This window comes from Homo sapiens, chromosome 6 (assembly GCF_000001405.40).
Source record: "Homo sapiens chromosome 6, GRCh38.p14 Primary Assembly".
Classification (NCBI taxonomy): domain Eukaryota; kingdom Metazoa; phylum Chordata; class Mammalia; order Primates; family Hominidae; genus Homo; species Homo sapiens.
This window is the reverse complement of record NC_000006.12, coordinates 1,756,236-1,776,110: the sequence shown is the minus strand read 5'-3', so window position 1 is coordinate 1,776,110 and position 19,875 is coordinate 1,756,236. Positions and strand designations below refer to the sequence as shown.

General features: G+C 42.4%; 1 protein-coding gene and 1 long non-coding RNA gene across 8 annotated transcripts in view; both read left to right on the top strand.

The window, feature by feature from the left end:
- GMDS (GDP-mannose 4,6-dehydratase) overlaps positions 1 to 19,875 on the top strand; it is a 621,800-nt gene that overhangs the window by 469,495 nt on the left and 132,430 nt on the right. The gene's annotated exons all lie outside the window — the stretch shown is intronic.
- On the top strand, positions 10,500 to 19,689 carry LOC124901239 (uncharacterized). Its single transcript, XR_007059404.1, has 2 exons — positions 10,500 to 18,801; positions 19,131 to 19,689. It is a non-coding gene; the product is annotated as an uncharacterized LOC124901239 (long non-coding RNA).

The following is a 19,875-nucleotide window of genomic DNA, read 5'->3' as shown; positions in this document are numbered from 1 at the left end:
GGAGGTTGATGCAGGCACTGAGTCTCTGAGTCCAGCTGGCTGCCCGTGTCATTCCACGACGGTAGCAGTGCAGAGGTTGTGCTAGTACAGCACAGGAGGGGACAGGACACCCATTGTATTGCTCAGTAGAATATTATCATAAAACCCCACATACCTCCCATCTCCCTTTTTTTATTTCTCAAAAATAAACTTTTCTTTTTTCACAATAAAGACAGAAAAGAATAAATGTTCATTTTAGAGAATTTAGAGAACTTGAAGAAAAAATAACTATTATGTAAAGACAGCCATCTATTACTCATATTTTTGAAAAAGTGTAGGATAATTTCTCTGTATTTCAAAGAACCGTGTTTTGAACTCCAAGCCACAGAAGTTTCTAGAAGAAAAACAAAAAACTTTCATTGCATTTCACAGCAACATGGAAACTATCTGGCAAAACACTGCCTTTTTTATATCCCTGGATCCCTGGAGCAGGGCATCAGGCCAGCTGCAAATCGCTCTATATACACAGGCTTCAAAGTAATGTGTTTTGACCCCTGCTAAACATGAGGTCAAGGAAGGTTCAAAGTATAGTGGGTCCAAGCACATCATGTCCAGTGAGAGTGCCACTCTTACAGACATCTTTGATTTGTATACTTGTGGTAATTTTCTGGCAAGTGACAGTAAAGTGTTTTATCGTAAGAATCAACATATTAATAGAGTTTTTCAACAGAGTAAAAGGAAAAGGCACCTTCCTCTAAGACACTCAAAAGATGCCTTTGAGCTAGCAGCCACCCTGTAGAATTGGTGGTGGTTATGCAGTGTTTGTCTTTTAATATTTGCATCGTTTTGGCTCTTCCAGTATCTCCAAATACCATGCAGATAGAAAGGAAGATGTTGTATGAGTAAAGAAGATGAGTAGTGGGGTCTTACCAAGGTTGTCCATAAAACTCCCCACCTTCAGCCATGCATGCGCTTGCTAGCATAATTCTCCATCTCTTCTCTAGAAGGCTTGGTATTTCTGAAGAACTTCATTCCTGGGTCCTTGATTTATTATTACTTTTCCTGTCAATCATATTAGCTGTTACAGATTTTATTAAGTTGTTGTCTCTAACAGACTTGTCTTTCGGAATCAGCCAAAGACAGGAGGCCATCGAGCAGGCTCCGCTTGGAAATTTCTCATCCCCTTCAACTCCCCCTGGAATGGACATTCCTCGCTAGTCAGCCTGGCCTTGCCTCTGATGAACTGCCCACCTTCAGCTCTCTGAAACTCAGTTCCCTTTCCTCAATCTCCAGTCTTCTGATCCCTGAAGTTACATGCCACACTGATTCAATCAGATGACTGCAGTGATGACTGATGAAAGTTTGCTTCTTTATAACCACAGAGGAGAGTTTTGGAAGCTGTTCCTTTAGGTGAAGTCGTTTCCACCCCAACATGAGTTAGCATGCCTTTCTGCACATATGTTTTCAATGTGACTGTAGCCTGAAACATCTTTCCTGGATATTTGGTGAGACAGACAGAAGGACGAGTGTGTGCATTCTTGTACATGTTTGTCTGTGTGTCTGCACATTTACACACAATCATCATTTGGGGATGCTGATGGGCCCTAATCCACTTTAATAACACAGTGAGAGATTGCCTCATGCTTTGCTTTATAAAATATGAAAACTATCTGCAGCTGTGAAGGAATGACCCTCATAATTCATCTGAGAGCCTGCCCCTCTTCCTTGTGGGATATACTCCATATCTCATATCAACTCATTGCTCTGAGTGTCCTCCACAGATGCAGAAAGATCCTATGATAGATGCTGTGATTTCCGCAGCGGGGGTGGTTAGCCTGTGACATGTGAGTGATGAGGCACAAGTGAGTTACGAAGACAGTACATCTCTCCACACCAGATAATATACTGTCCTTTATTCTGCAGCTATGTTTATATGAACATTACAGCTAAGAAAAGAGATGAGGGAAGTAGAATTCTTATGGTTTTGATTCATTTATTTATAAGGCCTTGCCTCTGATATAGTCAGCACTCTTTGGGAATTTTTTAAGGAGCAACAATGGTCATCACTTTCTTCTTTCAAGATTTTCTTCAATTAATTTTTGTACGTCATGTTTGGCTTCAAATAGTTTGTCATTTCTGTGCTTTAAATTAAAGCTACTACTCAAAATTCAGTTTAGTTCCTGTTTTTCAAAAATGTACAGTGTATAGTGGTTTGAACTTTTGACCCAATAGTAAATGTTTGAAGTCTGAGATACTCATAAACTGTTAATGGATTTGATATTTCTTAAAAACAAGTCTACACCCTTTCATGTGAAACTCTCCTGGGTGCTTCCCAAGGAGACTGAAATCTTGATTAACTCTTTCCTTCTTGGAATAAGATATAATTACCTCCACGGTAGTTTCTTCCTTGCAAATCCTCTCAAGAGGAGTGAAACGGTTAGAATTCCTGTGTCAGACACTCCCCAAGGAGAACTGGGCCAGTCCATCTGACAGCCATCGATGCTGCTCAGCACAGGCCTGTTTCCGAGCCAGTCGAGCCCTTCTCTGGCCCACTGTGAAGCTGTCACACCACACGTGCTCAGATTTCCCTCCGATGTGCACGCACCTGCCCAAGGGCAGCCCTCTTCCTCCATGAGTGTCACTCTGCAGGTTGTAGTCCCCAGGCATCCCCAACCACTTTGTGAAACGATTTAGCACCAACATGTATTTCATGCCTAACACTTCAACATTGCTGAGCGCTAAACATTCTAAGCAGTGGTCAGAGCTTTCGTTAATAACCTTGTTAAGAGAAGAGAGTTGTATTTAGAGAATTATTCAGTAAATGCTGTTACTTTCAAGGAATATCATAACTATTGAGAAAGACCTTGGAGAACCCAAATAATATAGATATTGCTCTCAAATAGTAGACTTCTCTTAAAGTTAAAAAAAAAAAAAAAAGAGGACCCTCTGTGCATTTTCTAACTGCCTTGAATGCATATAAAATGTAAAGGCCATGCTCTGTTTTTCCCCTTGAATTTCTGCTGCCTTTTTTCATCATCCAGTGAGTTAGTCTAAACCCTCCTTGCCAAGAGCCTCCTCTGTCCTTGCAGTTTGCTTTAACCCTGCCATTTGAGCCTCATGTTTGCAAATAGGGATTAGCAGGCTCTGTCATTCACAAAGTAAGAATATGATTTTACAATATTGGTTCCAGCTAATGACAGTTAACTGCTATTTTGCTCTGAAACATCCATTTCAGCTTAAGCATGAGGAATATTAAACAGGAACACAGAGGTAGTATTTTCAATAAAACTCTCTTTCTAGAAACTAGTTGTTGCTGACAAGCCACCACCTACAGAACAGTGGAGAGGAAGCGAAGCGACCCTGAGTCCATGCTTGTTTTTGTTTTTTACGTTTGGTGTCATCACGAACCCTGACCAGTTTTTCAGCCAGGCTTCGTCTGCAGTCATCAGCTGGTTTTCAAAGTTCTTATATGCCAGTCCCCACGAACGTATACTCCCCCGTGCTTTGCTAGTCTAGATAATCCAGCACATGATGGCAGATGATGTTGCACCCCAAACTTCAGTGGATGACCTCTGCATCTCTGTTCAAGCGTTTTTTACTTTAATTGAAGAAATAAGTAGAATTTGTAAAATGTCTAACCATTGTTGGATGCAGTTCCAGTACCCAGTGAAATCCTTTAATGGCCCCTTTTGGATTTGAAACTTGCCTTTTCTCTTTATGTGCAGATTCAAATGGAGGGGGTATGCCATGTTTTTCTCTGGGGATTAAAAGAAAGGACTCAGGAAATTATGTGCATCAGAATTTCTCCACACATACTACAAGCACTTTCCAATTATAAGAAACATGTTTTTTCTTTTCTTTAGCATATTCCTTCCTTGTCCTACCCTCAGGGGTTAAAAAAGAGAGAGCTCATGCATTGGATTTTGATTATGGTCTTCAATTCATTGTCTCCTTCTTCATTTTCCTTGTAACAGTAACTGAAAATAGCATGAGATTTTGGAGATTACAAAAGGGCAGTGTATACTTGGACACATTATTGTACTGTTTTCATAAATATCATTCTTCTAGTCCCTGTAAGCCCAGACCTCAGTAAGGCTACAGGTTTCCGCTCACAGGGCTGTTCTTTCTATTGCTGTTGGAAATTACACAAAAACCTTCTTTGCCTGCTCTTCCTTTTCTTTCTTAGACTCTAAAGTTTCTCCTGAGACTGATTGCCTCCTAGATATATGTTCGTGTTTCTCAGATAGCTCTTCTCTTCTTCCCCTTCTTGGATTTTTACAGTATTCATAGAGCTGAGCTTAAGCATCATACTGTACCAATAGATGCTGATAACGTAGGATGCTTTTCTGGCTGGACATATCAGATATTGTCAAACTCCAGCTTTCAGTTGGACCACTTCTTATTTCTGCACTGTGTGACTTTGACAGATCAGCGAACATCTCACAGGTTACAGTAAGATTTGCACAAAACTCAGAAATGTGTCATGAGGAACAAATGACATCTGCATGAAGGTGTTTTGCAAAACAGACAGTGCTGTGTAGCTGTAGGATGCATGCATCCAATTTACTCAGAGGAAATGGCATCATCAGTGCACACTATTGTAGCCACCATTGTATTGACTCACTACTATTTGCTTGGCACCGTTCCAGGCACTTCACACTCCTTTTCTTGTGCATTTTGTTTGGGCCTGCAAAGGAGGCATTGTTATCATAATTTTACAGCGGAGGTGACTTGCCAGCGTCACAGTCATTAAGTAGCAGAGCTGGGATTCAAACCAGAGTGTGTCTGAGGCCCAGGCCTTCCTCATGGTTTCTTTCAGCATCCTAAGTTAGGTTGAAGAGAGTGAGGAGGAAGAGAAGACAAAGAAACCCCCAGCACAGCCATCCTCAGTGGGATGCATCTGGAACTGAATATGATTTGTTTGACTGTCTGGAAGCTGACACGCTCCAGATTAATCACACTTTCAGGCTTAGATGGCTTCACTCCAAAAGAATATTGATATTTTAACACCAGGGAGGGGCTATTTTAGCATATTCTGTGTAAGAAATAAGTGACTATGCCTTATAAACATTTCACTTATTTAATTTATTTAATTTTAGTTTGTTTATATATCCTATGAAGACATGAATAGCTCATTATTTTACATATATCAAAAATATCTGGGACTGCCTGAAAATGGAAATTAAATAACACTTTTCATAAACTCACAGTCAGAGCTCCATGCTGCAATGGCAAATGCCTCTTCAATTATTACCTTGGCAGTTTTCTTTCTTATTGGATCATCATTTTAAAATACCTTTTCAGAACAGTTGACTGGATGCTTTTGGTATGCAGACTCCTGATTAAGTGATCTTCTATCCTCATTAAGAAGACCCTTTTGGATGTTTCTGACTAATCTTCTGCCATCTCACTTTCACTTTCCTGGTATAAATTTTTGGTTTACTACTCAGTGGTTGGCTCTCAAAACAGGAAAGCAAGTTTGACTTCATAAAACCAACAGCTAACACTTGCACAGTGGTTTACCACTTACAAAGCAAGTACTGTTCACTCTCATTGTCTCACTCCCCACACCGTGGGGTCATGGCAGGGACTCCAAATCACCAAGGAGGAAACGGCCATCCCAGAGGCGCTCTGCAGCAGCCGCGTTGATGGTGTCTGTGGCTTCACCCTATGTGTGCTCCACGGTCAGATTCTCCGCTGCCACAACAAGATTCGATAGTTCCTTGTGTCCCACACAGCTTTACGTACAGTGCCTTACGCGTGGTCTTCAGTAAACACATGCAAAATTGAAGCATCAGTGAGTGAAAGATCACTGGAAATTGTGGCTTTCTCTCTGAAAATCCAAATTTCCTAACCTAGGGTCTAAAACTGTCTGTGAATTTCCTCAAGTCGTAGGTAAAAATGTGTTCGTGTGTTGGCTCACACATGTGTGCAGTTCTCAGGGAAGAAGATATCCTCATTTTTCATCAGATTCTCAAAGGAGTCCATGACTCAAGTAAAGTTAATAATAAGTGCTTTTAAAAATTAAACAGAGAACCCCAAAATGTTGTAAGATTTTAGTTAGCATTCATAACAAAAGATATCAATCATTAGAAAGTTACATTTAGGCTGGGTGCGGTGGCTCACACCTGTAATCCCAGCACTCGGGGAGGCCGAGGCGGGTGGTCACTTAGAGTCAGGAGTTTGGGACCAGCCTGGCCAATATGGCAAAACCCCATCTCCTCTAAAAATACAAAAATTAGCCAGGCCTGGTGGTCCACGCCCATAATCCCAGCTACTTGGAAGGCTGAGGCACGAGAATCACTTGAACCTGGGAGGTGGAGGTTGCAGTGAGCAGAGATCACGCATTTTTTGGTTGTGGAGATCACGCCACTGCACTCCAGCCTGGGTGACAGTGCAAGACTCCGTCTCAAAAAAAAAAATAAAAAATAAAAAACATTTAAACTCTGTGTTACCTAAAGGATATCAAAATTTTGTGTCTGTGCTAATTGATGTTGGTTTGTTAGAGCTTTAAACTATTGAGGTCGAAGCTTGGGCTTCAGTCTTCCTCCTGGCCAATTAATAGCCTCGTTAAGTGGCTGAGGATTTCACTGAGTCCTGCCAGTCCCCTTGAAAATGCCCATGAGGGGTTAGCAAAAGGGAAGGCAGGGAATTACAGAATGCCAATCAATTCCATCCCTGTGCTTCCTGGGTTGTTTGTGTTTTCATAGCTTCAGTGTGAATATAACTTGGATTTTAGCTGAGAAGTAGCTTGACACAGGTTAAAGTGTCATTTTCTTTATTTCCTCCAGCTTTGAGAGAATTTGTTACCCCAGTATTGGACATTCCAGAATTCTGTTTACTCACAAGTTAGACTGCATACCTTCTGTTACACTGGTTGCTTCTGGGAGAAGGATCCGCTTCCTCTTTATCTCCGTAAACCCAGTTCTATTAGTGTCAGTTATTGTCGTGAAGCTTGAGTGAAAGTCGATCACACAGAATCACCAAGTCAAAATAAAGGACTTTTCTAGGAACGAATTACATCAGTAGATAACCTAACTTAAATTATAATATACTAGTGAATAATTTTTTATCACTGAGTACTTTTCTCTCTGTAGAATATAGTATAATCAGACAGAGTAAGCTGTTATTTCCTCTCCTGGGCATATTATTCTGTATCTTTTATCTCTTACAATATTGAAGGAATATTAAAAGGAACTCAAAATGAATAAGCACACAAAAAATGAGAAATATAAGCATAACTCTTTTAGTCTGTAAAATGTCAGTAGTTAAATAGGAGTTGTGAAGTGCCAGTTTTTACAAATTATGAATATTCAAAAGATACAAAAACATGTTTAAATCAAAGCAAAATATATAGATTGAGTATTCCTTATCTGAAATGCTTGGGAACAGAAATGTTTTGGGTTTTGGAGTATCTGCATTATACTTACTGGTCGAACATCCCAAATCCAAAAACAGAAATGCTCCAATGAGCATGTCCTTTGGACGTTAAGTCAGCACTCAAAAAGTTCAGATTTTGGAACATTTCAGATTTCAGATTTTTGGATTGGGGTACTCAACCTGTATATTATGTGACAGTGACTAACAAGAAACATTTATTCATGAAGGAATGAGTAAACGTAGTACCTCCTTGGTTGAAGCAGGAGTTCTAAGGTATGTACCCAAGTTTGAATTCTTCAGTATCTTATCTGTCATATATTGGTAGTAGCTGGCAATATTGATCCCTTTTTTGGAGCTGTTCTTCCAATTAAATTTTTAGAAGCAAATGCTGAAATCATCATCCTTGCACTTTTTGAACATATCCTATTGATTATACTGTCGTTCTAAATATTTACAATGTATTCTTTCAAATATTTGTGGATATAATAGAAAGCATGTCTCTATGACATTGTATGCTTTACTGAAGTGACATTAGATATTCCCCTGTTTACACACATTCATATGGTTAATGACTCATGTTACCTATTAAGGTTTCCTGTTTCCTGATTTAAAAGATATTTAAAGGCCTCAGTACTGAAATGTTTATTTTTACCTCTGGATCTTCTGCTTCATATAGTAACATATACAGGCTAAATACCTATTTTAACACCACCAGACCCACTTTTTACCTTTATTATGAAACTAGGGTTTGGTCAGCTGAGGGCAAGCTGTATGCATAACATAGCTGGCAGTATAGTCGGTGAACTGTCACCGAGAAGAGAGTCAAAATGTAAACACTGAGCAATTCTACAGCAGCTTAGAGCCGGGATTAACTGGGATCACCTAGTATTCTGTTTTTAATGAAACTCTCTCCCTTGTATTTTCATGTTTGGGAGAGAGTCCAAAGTTATCTCATGCTAATTTAGTTAGGCAGTGCCCTCCGGGGATGTCACAGGCTTCCCTGACCTCTCCAGAGAGAGATTCAGTGAAGGGATGAGGAGAATTAAACATTCCTGAGAAATTGGAAAGCAACAACCCCCAGAGAATTTGCAGAGAAACTCGCTCCAGACTCGGCTGCCAGAGACTCAAGTCACCTTTTCAGCACTTGCTTAACATCTCTCTCAGTCCCATCTGGCTTGACTCAGAGGTCAGTCTGGGAGACTCGGGAGTGGTGGCAGCTCAGAGAAGAATTCAAGGGAGGGCCACCAATAGCACATTCTGCTCTTGTTGCTTGTTTTTATCTGAAGTACATTTGAAAAGATGGACAGGGCATAAGGTTGAAGTAATAACTTGACTTTGCTTGGCCATCTTTTTTTCCTTTTAACCCAAAATTTACTTTAAGGTGAACTGGTATTTTTATTTCCCAAATAATAAGTTCCTTGATTCTTGATGACTGAAACTTAAGAGTTGTTGTCGTTTCTGTTATACAGGACCTCTGTGACTAATTATTTTGTAATTAGCCATTTTACAAAGGATATTTTCTTTTATGCGTTTAATGAAATTTGGGGGGGTGGTGGGTGGAAAATATGTTTCCGGTTTTAAAATCATATTCCCTTTGTGGTTTACATTTCGTATATGAAGAATTTCAGAAAACTAGGAAAACAAAAGTATTATTAAATATTGAATCTGTATTATAAACAAATCTAAGGAGCTACATTTTATAGTTTGTTCATTTCATTTTCTACTGAACAGAATAAAGTTCAGTGTGCCCTACAGCTGTGGTGTGAGAGGAAGGTTTGGGGATCCCTGCTCGATTTTACACTTAAGTCAGATTCAGCAGGAAATAAAGAACCCTTACCCGGTGCTCCTTTAAGCCAGATTGCTGAGCTGGGAGACCTAGCTGACCAGATCTGGCCCATTGCCAGGCTTTGTTTAGTCCAGTCAGTGTTTCAGCCCACAGCTAACATTTTAGAGTTTGTTGGGTTTTTAAAAAACATAACGCAGTTTTTAGCATGTTCGATGTGCAGCTCCTCCGTGTAAGCAGATCTGGTGAGACTGGTTCAACATCCCCAGGTGGGAACCGTCTGTGGGAAACGGGGCGCTTGCTGGGCCTTCTAGAAGGGGAGAGCCTCTGCAGGCTGCCTGAGGTGAGCTTCCCTGGGCTCCGGAGGCACTGGAGTAGCGAGGCCCACCTTAGACCCTCCTCCCGAGCCATACACAAGAGAGAAATCACTTTTCAAAGTAAGCGACTTTGTTCATTAGAAAGTGAGTTATAGCAGATATATAAATATGATACTCATTTCTTCATTGGTTCCCATTAGGATTCTCAAGATGCTTTTCTCTCTCCGTGGTGGCCTACAAAGAGACCTGGCCCGGGAGACGGAAGGTGTGGGTTCTAACGCAGAGCCTTTCCCCAGCACCTGAAACAGCTCATGCACCGCGTTTCCTGAAGCCCAAATGAATCTGCTGCCTCGAAAGTTCTGTGGTCTTTGCTCCTGTCCAATTTCCAGTGACTCAATGCACATCAGCTTAAATTAGCTAACTTCTCCTTGCTTCTGTGCCACACACAAAAATTAATCATGGCATCAGGTATCTTGATGCACTGAAAGAGTATTACATTTAAACAGACGGGCAGCGAATCCATGAATCATCCTGAGCTTCACATACCCACCCTCCATTTCACATGTGTCGTTTTCATATAGTGCAGCCGCTCTGCCCACTGGGAGAGAGGACGTTTGCAGCTGATTTCTGAAGTAGAGGAGTTAATAAAGGCACCAGGCATGTTTCGAAGGACCCAGGTGAAAGCCTTCTTACATCCTCAGCCCTTTGCTTTAGGGCTGAAGATAGGACAGAGAGAAGAGTCCTGGGCTGAGTCTCGCAAGGGCCTTCTCAAGGCCTTTGCGTTTGTTCTGCTATTTCCTAAACCTTTCTCCACTGTGCCGAAGGAGTTAAAGGGCTCCGAGCCCTAACCCTCCATCGGGGAGTGTCTCGGGCACCAGCGAGAATCTGGCACAGGACATGTTTTCATGGAACTGCTTATCAAAACTAAGCTTCTGCCGTTTCATTTAGACGGGGTAGATTGGGTGGAAAACTGGCCCAGGGACCAGGAAATTTGCCTTCTGTTCCTGCTCAGCCGCCGCGTGACCCTGTTGCAGGTCAGTCCTCCAAGCATGTCTCAGTTTCTCCATCTGTAAAATTAGACAATGAAATGAATGTTATTTATAAGAAACCTGAGGGAAATCCTTCTGATTATCTTCACTGAAACAATGCGAATGAATATTTTTGTGGGGGCTCTGCCTTGCTCTCTTCCTGGGCTCACTCTTGCCTAGCGCCTTCTTATCTGCTCGAGGGGTTTTTCAGACCACAGCCTTCTCAGTGCTTGTTAATGGGTTGTGTTCCCATCTCACCTTCTTGTTAACACCATCCCCAGCTCTAGGAAAAGAGGCGGTGGCCTTGGGAACTCTTTATGCCAAAATAAACAACAAAGTTTGGAAACATTTAGACCAAGATAATTAGGAAAATGGTGTTGAATAAAAGATAGCATTAGAATTGCTACCATGCTTAAGTTAGAATCCGGTTCCAAAAAGCACAATCTCCAGTTAACTGATCTGTTGTAAATTTTTTTTTTCTTTTTGGTTTAGTTTTGTTTTTTAAAAGATTTAAATTGTTTAAATCTTCTGATCACTCCTGTCAGTTAAGGTTTCTTCCTCATTGAGAAGTCACACTGGGGGGAAAAAAATGTGCCCACAGCTGTTTACTATTTAGCAACACTATTAAAGGAACACTATTTAACAATAATTCATGAAGCTCCCTACTCAGAAAAAAAGACAGCTCCTCTGAACTATCTACCTATATAATACAAATTTATTTTCTTGAAATTGCAAAAACCCGCATGTTGAGACAAACATATAAATTGCCAGGATTTTTGTGTTCTTTCAGAACTTAAATATAACCAAACGATTTTGGGCAAGGAATCAGAAATTCTTTAGAACGGAAATGTTGAAACCCCAGATTCAGTTCTAAAACTCATCTTTCAAAAAGAATTCATGCTCTGAAAAATGCAGCGTTTTTATGTTTGGTATGATAACAGCCCCATGGAATTATCACATCATATCTTGACGATCGTTACGGAGCGGTGATGATCTCTTAGGCATTAACCCAGGATTTTCTCCAATAATATTATCATTTATAACAGCAATAACATTTTGTAGATCACAGAGTGCTTTTAACATATTATCTGATGGGATACCTAAAACCCTATAACCTGTGTAAGAAAATCAAGGGTGAAATGAGTAAGTTGTCTAAAGTGACAAGCCTATTCCAGACAGGGCCCAGCGTTTTAGGACTTCAGTCCAAGTTCTTTTCACTACATGATATTAAGACTATCCTTTATCATCGAGTATTTTCCTGTAAAAATAATTCATTTGGAAAGATGAAGAAACACATAAAGCCTCCATCTCTTGCCTCTGTGAACCTCTCGGCTCTCACATCCCACACACGGGCCTCCGTTTTGAGTGCATGTTTTCGTATTCACCCTCACAGCACATTCCCAGCTTTAAATAGTTGTCTCCCATCTTGTATGAATGTACATTTGTGATCACAGAAAGGCCTTCTCAGTTACCAGCACTGTTTTTACTGCTGGGAACAAAATCATTTCAAACAAACAGCTTTTTTTTTTCTTCGCTCCTTCACTCTTAACCCCCAGCCTCAGTAGCACTACGAGGAGATGTACCGGACAAGCAGCAGGCAGGCCTACAATGCCCGCTCTGTCTTTCCCCTGCAGACCCTCCAAACTAGCAGGGGTGCCTGCCAAGAGGGGGTGCCTCAGCTCCAGTGGATCGCAGCTTCAGCAAATGGCACTGCTCCCTCCAAGGGAGCCCTCCACCTGTGCCCCCAGTGTGGAGACAGGGAGCACTCTTCACTCTCAGGAGCGGATGTTCACTACTTTCACTAGTGGTCCTAGCAAAGTTTCAAACTGAGCTACTGAGTGGGAGACAGATTCGTACCAATGGAGAAACTGGTTCTTCCGCTTTCTAGATTTCATGCCACCATGATGACTGGGATGTCCCATTGTTCCCCCTGGGCAAACCGGAAATCCATTTTACTGTTAGAAATACTAGATCTTTAAAAAATCTGTTTATTCTGGAGTCAGTCACACACAGGGCAATCTATGTGAAAGAAAAGAGGAAGGAGCAGTTGCATAATTGTCATACCATCCATCATGTTCATTCTCACACTGACCATGGTTTTTAATGTCTGTCCACCTGCAGTCTGTGGCCTCGCCAGACAGTAAGGGCAGCGCCCTGGAAGTGGGGGATTTATCACTTGCCAGTAGGTTTACTCTTGGGGAGACGCTGGGGTTTTATCTCCATGCCCCTGGAGAATTGACTTACTGAATGCTTCCCTTGAAGACCTAAGTCACTGGTTCTTCAGCCCCTTTGCATAGTCCTCTCACTGAAATCAGAACTGAATTTGTTCTTTTTCATTTTTGGTTAAGAAGATGCACATTAGAAGACAGCTCAGAGCAATGGGGCTGACCTAGTGGGAAAAGACACTGGTTTCTTTTCACGTTTCTGGATGGCCCGTGGCCCACATCTGCCAGCATCTTCGCACGTGTCCACAGCACCAGTCAGCCTCACCCACCTTGTCTTTCCCTTTGCGATCTTAGAAAGAATTTGGTAGAAATGGGAACCGAAGATTGAGCAGAAAGTATAATTACCACATGTATTTACCAGCTCATTTTCAAGAGCAGTAAAAGTACACTAAACATTCTGCTTGTACATACACTAGCACTTTAAAACTACCAGCTTTCTAAAACATGGTTTTGATTTTTGGAGCAAACATTCAATTGCTATTCTTTGATATTATTGATTTATAAACAAAATGATCAGCATTCCCTAATGTCTCGAAGCAAAGAAATTAGGGTAACACATTTAAAATTTATCAGTTTGAAACTTTCTAAATACTCTTCCTTAATAATAACCACAATACACTGAAAATGTCAAGTTCTGTAAAAAATGAACAGGGACGCGAATGTGTCGGGCTTCATTTTGAAGACCCAGCGTGTTTCTCATCCTCCCCAGGAAGGGAAGGTTGAAATCATGAAGTTAACATCTGCCTTTTCGTAAACACCACCTCAAAGTGCTCTTTCTCTTAGGTTGGAGGCTGAAAGAAAGAAGCACAAATCTTCCCTGGGCCAAGAGTTTCATCATAAGCCCTGTGTGATCAATAAGTACATTGTGGTGGTTATTTCATAGCTGATTAACTTATATGTCTACAAGCCAACACTTGACTTGAAAGGCTGGTCGGGTTGCTCGCCGTGCGAGCATGGCCTTTACCAGCCTGCCCTGGCAGCCAGCTCTGGGACTGCTCACTCCTGACCACAACCCGGGTACAGCCCTGAAGTTTCGTCGTGAGTAACCCGTCAGCAGGAGCCCATGCCTCTCTGAAAGGGCATTTTGTCTTTTTTGGCAGTACCAAATGGCAGGATAATTAGTGTTAGGGAGGGAAAAAACAGAATTGAAAACCACATCCGATACCTGGTTATGGACTCTTCAACTTTGTGGAGGCAGAAAATGTGGTGGCTTTATTTTTCTTAATAAATGCAGACGGTTATAAGCAATTGAGCATTTAATGATGAGATGATGCTGAAAGGCATAACTTAATAAAAATTGCCTCTGTGTTTCTCACTTCATGGTTGAAACAGACTGTGCTTCTCGGCTTTTTCTGTAATCAGGTTTATATCAGATTGTCCTTTAATTCACGTTAAGATCTTACATCTTAGTACTTCCTCTTAGAGTTTTTGTATTCCTCCTTGCAAAGTCTCTGTTTCATTTTTAGGGAAAGGGTTTCCTATAGTTTTTTTTTCGTCTCCAGTGTTGCTTTTAATTTCACCAATTATGGAGTAAATAAATCATTGTGTACTTGGAAGAAAAATTGGCAGGAGAGCAGAATATGTTAAGGACTCTTGCTTTTCATTGTGAGCGAGATTTCCCAACTGGAGCGTCTCTGTTTTATTTTGCCTCTGGCTAACATCTGAAGATCAGTAATAAAGCTCTATGCAAATACTTTCATGTATTAAAAGAACAATATTTTGACACTCATTGACACAAGCAAAAAAAATACAACATTAAATTAGTGTTCAGGCAAACAATGAAGACATTGTTCATTCACATGAAATGCATGTGAAAAATGCTGTGTTATATTAACAGAAAAGCTTGCTCCTCAGAACTCGACCTTTAGCACTGGCGTAAATGACATTACTTATGGTGCTGTATAGTATTAGACAGGCTTTCTTGTTAACAGTCTTGAGCAGCCGTTGATAACTTGTCAGACTACTGAGAATTTTAGTCACCAAAAAATAAATGTTCATTCTCAGTACCTGATAATTTAAGTTTCTCACAGATTTTTTAAATTATCTTTTGGATATTTTAGAGTTTTCAAATACTCGATAAGTTAAATACTTTAAAAGTGTTAATTCATTGTAGGCTTTTTCTACTTGTTTTTCCAGATTTCATCTAGAATTAAGTAGACTTAATTTTTTAAAAACTCCCTTGATCATCTATAATGTGTTTTTAAAATAATTGAACTTCAAGGTACGCTCTTGATTTTTATTCTGAATCTTGGAGAACACAGGGGGCCTTTTGTTTAATTTTCAGTCATGTGGACAGGCCCTTCCATGGAAGGGGAGGTTTCTCTAGATGACTCTTTGCATGTATGTAGTAGAATTTCTTTCCTCCTTTATCACTACACTCAAATGTTACAGTTACAATCATTGTTTTCTTAAATACAACTGGCTTCCCTTTTCATCTGTGTTGATCCAGGACATTGCAGAGTCAGCATCTGGGAAATCATTATGCCAACAGACCATCCCAGTCCCGGGTGAGGTCAAGTTAGTAAGAGCAATTGGACCACCCGAAAGAACAAAGCTCAGATACTCCTCATAGTGGGACATTCTCAGATTAGCAAACAAAAATTAAAAGAAGAATGATTAAATCTAATTATATTCAGCATGTTTTTCAGAGTACTGAGTGGAAGAGTGACTTTTAACTTGACATCTAGATTTTTGTGAATGAAGACACTGGGGAAACACATTTGAAATGAGTTTTAACCAACAAGTTGCATAGGACACTAGGTTCCCAGTTACAAAGACGGTGCATGTCCCAGCCTGCCATCTTTAGAGGCGCTCAAGGGTGGGCGGTCCTCGGCGGTGGGGACTGCGGGGGCCATGGGTTGATGACACCCTCATGAGGACCCTGAGTACTCCTCCTCCTCTGGTGTACTGGGTTGTCTCCTCTGTGTTCCCACAGCTCCTTTCACACTGGCCCCTCTCCCATCATTTTAGTGGCTGGCTGGGCAAGTGGCCATCTTCCCCACTGGATACTGAGGTCAACAGGTGGTGACTTATCCCCCCTGGAGCTCCCTTCTTACCACTGAATACAGAGCTGATACACAACTGGTCCCATATACTCGTGGTCCAGAAGTCCTATTTGCTCTTTATCCAAACTTGTTTGCTAAAGGAGCAGAAACCAACTCAAAGAAATTCATGGAAAACGGGATTTTTTGTAAGGAGCCTCAGGGCACCTCGCAGGAATGGGAAAGGAGGATCTGCTTTCCTCTGTGTCTGCACATCTCCCTCACTCCCTCCCTCCTCGTGGGCTCCCTTTCCCACTCTGCTGCCCACACAGGTCTTCATGCCTCCCAGTCTCTCCAGCTGGCTCCGCCCCGGTGACAGTCTCACGCCTGGGTGCTCAGCCCTTTCCTGCTGTTTCTGCCTCTGGGTCTCTTACTGCAAATGTCTTTGACATTCCCATTGGCCCAGAATATGTTAGGTCTCCATCCATGGAAACCGAAGGGTGTTGGGGGGTGGGGGGCTGGGGCGCAGTAGGCACAGGGACACATCACCTGGTTTAAATACACCTGGCTTGACTCACTCCTTCATCAAGAGCAGTGTGTGGGGACAGTCTTATTAGGAGGAAGGTTTTAGAAAGGAGCCATACCTGATAGTTCCCTGATAACTACCTGAAGCCTCTGTCCCAAAAGTTATTTCTTAAATCAGATTTGGACTTTTAAAACGCTTTTTCCTATATAAATGTTTAAAGCACGTAGGCCAGGCACAGTGTCTTCCCTGTCTGTTCCTACGTGGTCTATCGCCAGACTCTAGCACAGTGCCCAGCAACTAGCAGGCACACTGTAAACATTCATTTCTTGTCTGGTCAGGTCCCCAGGTTAGCTCACAAAAGTCCACACAGCTATTTGTAACCAGCACGTAGAATTGAGTTTCAACAAGAAAATGTATTCTACACACAGCCATTAGGAGAATGCACAAGAGCATCATGCAGTCGCAAGAATACAGGAAAGGGAGTTGAGGTTCCAGCCCCAGCTCTAACACTTAGCAGGTGTATGACTTCAGGTGAACCATTTAATCTCTCCAGTTTCAGCTGCTTCATCTTTAACATTTGTGGAATTGAATGACAACACCTCTAAGGCCCCTTCCAGCTATTAAATTCTGTGGCTGTGACTAACATAATCAGGATTTAATTCACTCCACCCTATCAGTCTTCCTTCCCCATGCTATTTATGGGTGCAAGAGTTTGGTTGTGGAGATGAACTACACATTCTCCTGGGCACCAGTAACTCCCTCAAGATACGTAATCATCATTGTCATCATCCTGATGAAAAAATTAGCCGGGCGTGGTGGCGCACACCTGTAGTCCCAGCTACTCTAGAGGCTGAGGCGTGAGAATCACTTGAACCCGGGAGGCAGAGGTTGCAGTGAGCTGAGATCGTGCCACTACACTCCAGCCTGGGCGACACAGTGAGACTCCGTGTCAAAAATAATAAATACATAAAACAGCCCCCTGAGGTAGGGATTATTATTATTTTTTGAGAAAAGGCTGGTCTCTAACTCCTGACCTCGGGTGATCCACCTGCCTTGGCTTCCCAAAGTGCTGGGATTACAGGCGTGAGCCACCGCGCCTGTAATCCAGAAGTCACCCAGTGAATAGTGGGGCTGGAGCTTAGACGCGGGTTTCTGATTCCCAGCCCAAGCTCTAGACACAGAGTTTCTCAGCGCGCTTCCCAGATCAGCAGCCTCCTGCTTCACCCTGGAACTTGCACATTCTCCAGCTCCACCCAGGCCTATTGAATCTGTAGCTCCAGGCCTCAAGGGGGCCAGCAGCCTGCGTTCTAATCTTCCAGAGGATTGCAGTGCACACTTCTAGCCTGACAGATGATTCTAATGCACGCTAACGTTTGAGAACACCTACCCCCTCTGCAGCACTACATTTCACCAAACTCCAGAGGGTTTCTCAGGTGTTTACTCCCAGGTATTCCAATTGGGGAGAGAGTGTGGTATGAGTGCCCATTTGTGGATGGATGAGGCAGGCAGGCATTCAAACGTCAAGTGCCTGTAAATTAGGAGCTAGTTGTGCTACTTTTCAAACACTCACTCTCTCCCAGTTGTCATCGCTGATGAAATCACTACTGAAGAAGTCAGGAGGTGGAGATAATGACCAAGAAGGGAGGAGGGGCCATTATTCCTCCAGCCGTGCTGTGGAGAAAATGAGGAGGCCTTCTCCAAGAAGCCCCGGCAGAGAGTTTTAGCAGGATAAGCAAACAGGATTAGAGTAGGGTGTCACATAGCAAGGTTCCTTCTCCCTCTTGAACATAAGGCTGGCTCTGTAGCCCCACGCAGCCCAGCGTGGTAGCCACAGCCTTGTGTGTCTGCTGAGCACTCAAATTGTGCCTCTTCTGAGTGGAGATGTCCTGTGAGGACAAAAGACAGGCTACACTTCAAAGTCTTGGTACATAGAAAAGGAACGTGAAATATCTCAATCATATTTTGTATTGAAATGGTAACATACTGGATATATTCGATTAAATGAAACATCAAATTTAGCTTCACCTTTTCTTTTTACTTTTTCAATGCAACTGATAGAAAATTTTATATTACGTGTGGCTCACATTATATTTCTATTGGGCAGTGCTGTTTTAGAATAATCCTGAAAGTCCTGTCTACATCCACCTTAATGCACGCACTGTGATGTCCATAAGTTGATATTTTCTGGTAACAGTGATTGTCAACACTTCAACCAAGAAACCTAGTGGGCCTAGAATCAGTTCAGAGGTTAAATTCCCAAGGTCAGAGTTAGACCAAGAGGCAGAATCAGGTGCTCAGGATGACTAGCTTGAAGAATAAGGTCATAGAAAGGTCATAATGGCTTCCCAGGAACAGATTTAGGTAGCACAGTCAGGAGCCAAGAGCATGGAGATGAAGGATCAGGTGGTCATGAGTGTAAAGAAACTTCCTCCTGCATGCCCAGAGCTTTTATGTTGTTCCTACTGGGCCAGGAACTAATTCTAGAATGGCTTACCCAGGTATCCGAGCGACAGAAGATAATTGGAAACACCTGGCTGAAGTAGGTGGCTTGGCACGCTCCAGGAAACAACCACTTCTGGGAAGTACGTTGTGACAGCAGTGGTATTGGGCCAGTTAGAGCATTCGTTAGATTAGAGTGACCTGAAAGTGAGCTCCCATATCCCAGGTGTATGCGTCGTGAGTTATTTTTGCCCTCATTTAAACCTGTCACTGCACGATGTTAAAGATAGATGGAGCTTAATTAAAAACTGCAAGCTGAAGCAATGTTTATATTAGAGACAAGAATAATAACTTCATTGCTATATTGAAACAATCAGCTGACATTAGAGTTATCACAAGATAGCTCTTTGTGGTAGATTTTTTTCTAGAGATGGCTACGGTAACCCCTCCCATCCTGCGTGTCCTTTTGCAGTGTGACTCTACCACCCCTCCCATAAGGGGGAGAGTCTGTTTCCCCTTTGTTTGAATTTGGGCTGATCCTGTCGCCAATGCGTGCGGAGGAAGTGAACTGGACAGCTTCCAGGCCAAGGCCTTAGGATGCTTTGTGGCTTTTGTTTTGCCACCTTGGAAGCAGCCACCACGTAAAGAAGCATCGTCTAGACTAATGAACAATGTCAGAACGCTTAGCTGGAGAATGGCCACGTGGAGGAGAACTGAGGTGCATCCAGCACCCAGCACCAGACCTGTGAGGGAGGCCATCTTGGCCCCACTGCCCCAGTCAGTCCGCCTTGGCCATCACCACCGGGAGCAGAGAGGAACTGTCCTCTGAGCCCTCTTGAGTTCCTGCACACTGAATCACAAACAATCAAAAGGCTGCAGCCAGCCGGGCATGGTGGCTCATGCCTGTAATCCCAGCACCTTGGGAGGCCGAGGCGGGCAGATCACCTGAGGTCAGGAGTTCAAGACCAGCCTGACCAACATGGTGAAACCCTCTCTCCACTAAAATAAAACACACACAAAAATTAGCTGGACGTGGTGGTAGGTGCCTGTAATTCCAGCTACTCAGGAGGCTGAGGCAGGAGAATTGCTTGAACACGGGAGGCGGAGGTTGCAGTGAGCTGAGATTGCGCCATTGTACTCCAGCCAGGGAGACAAAAGCGAAACTCCATCTCAAAAAAAAAAAAAAACCAGAACAAAAGGCTGCAGCCATGAAGCTT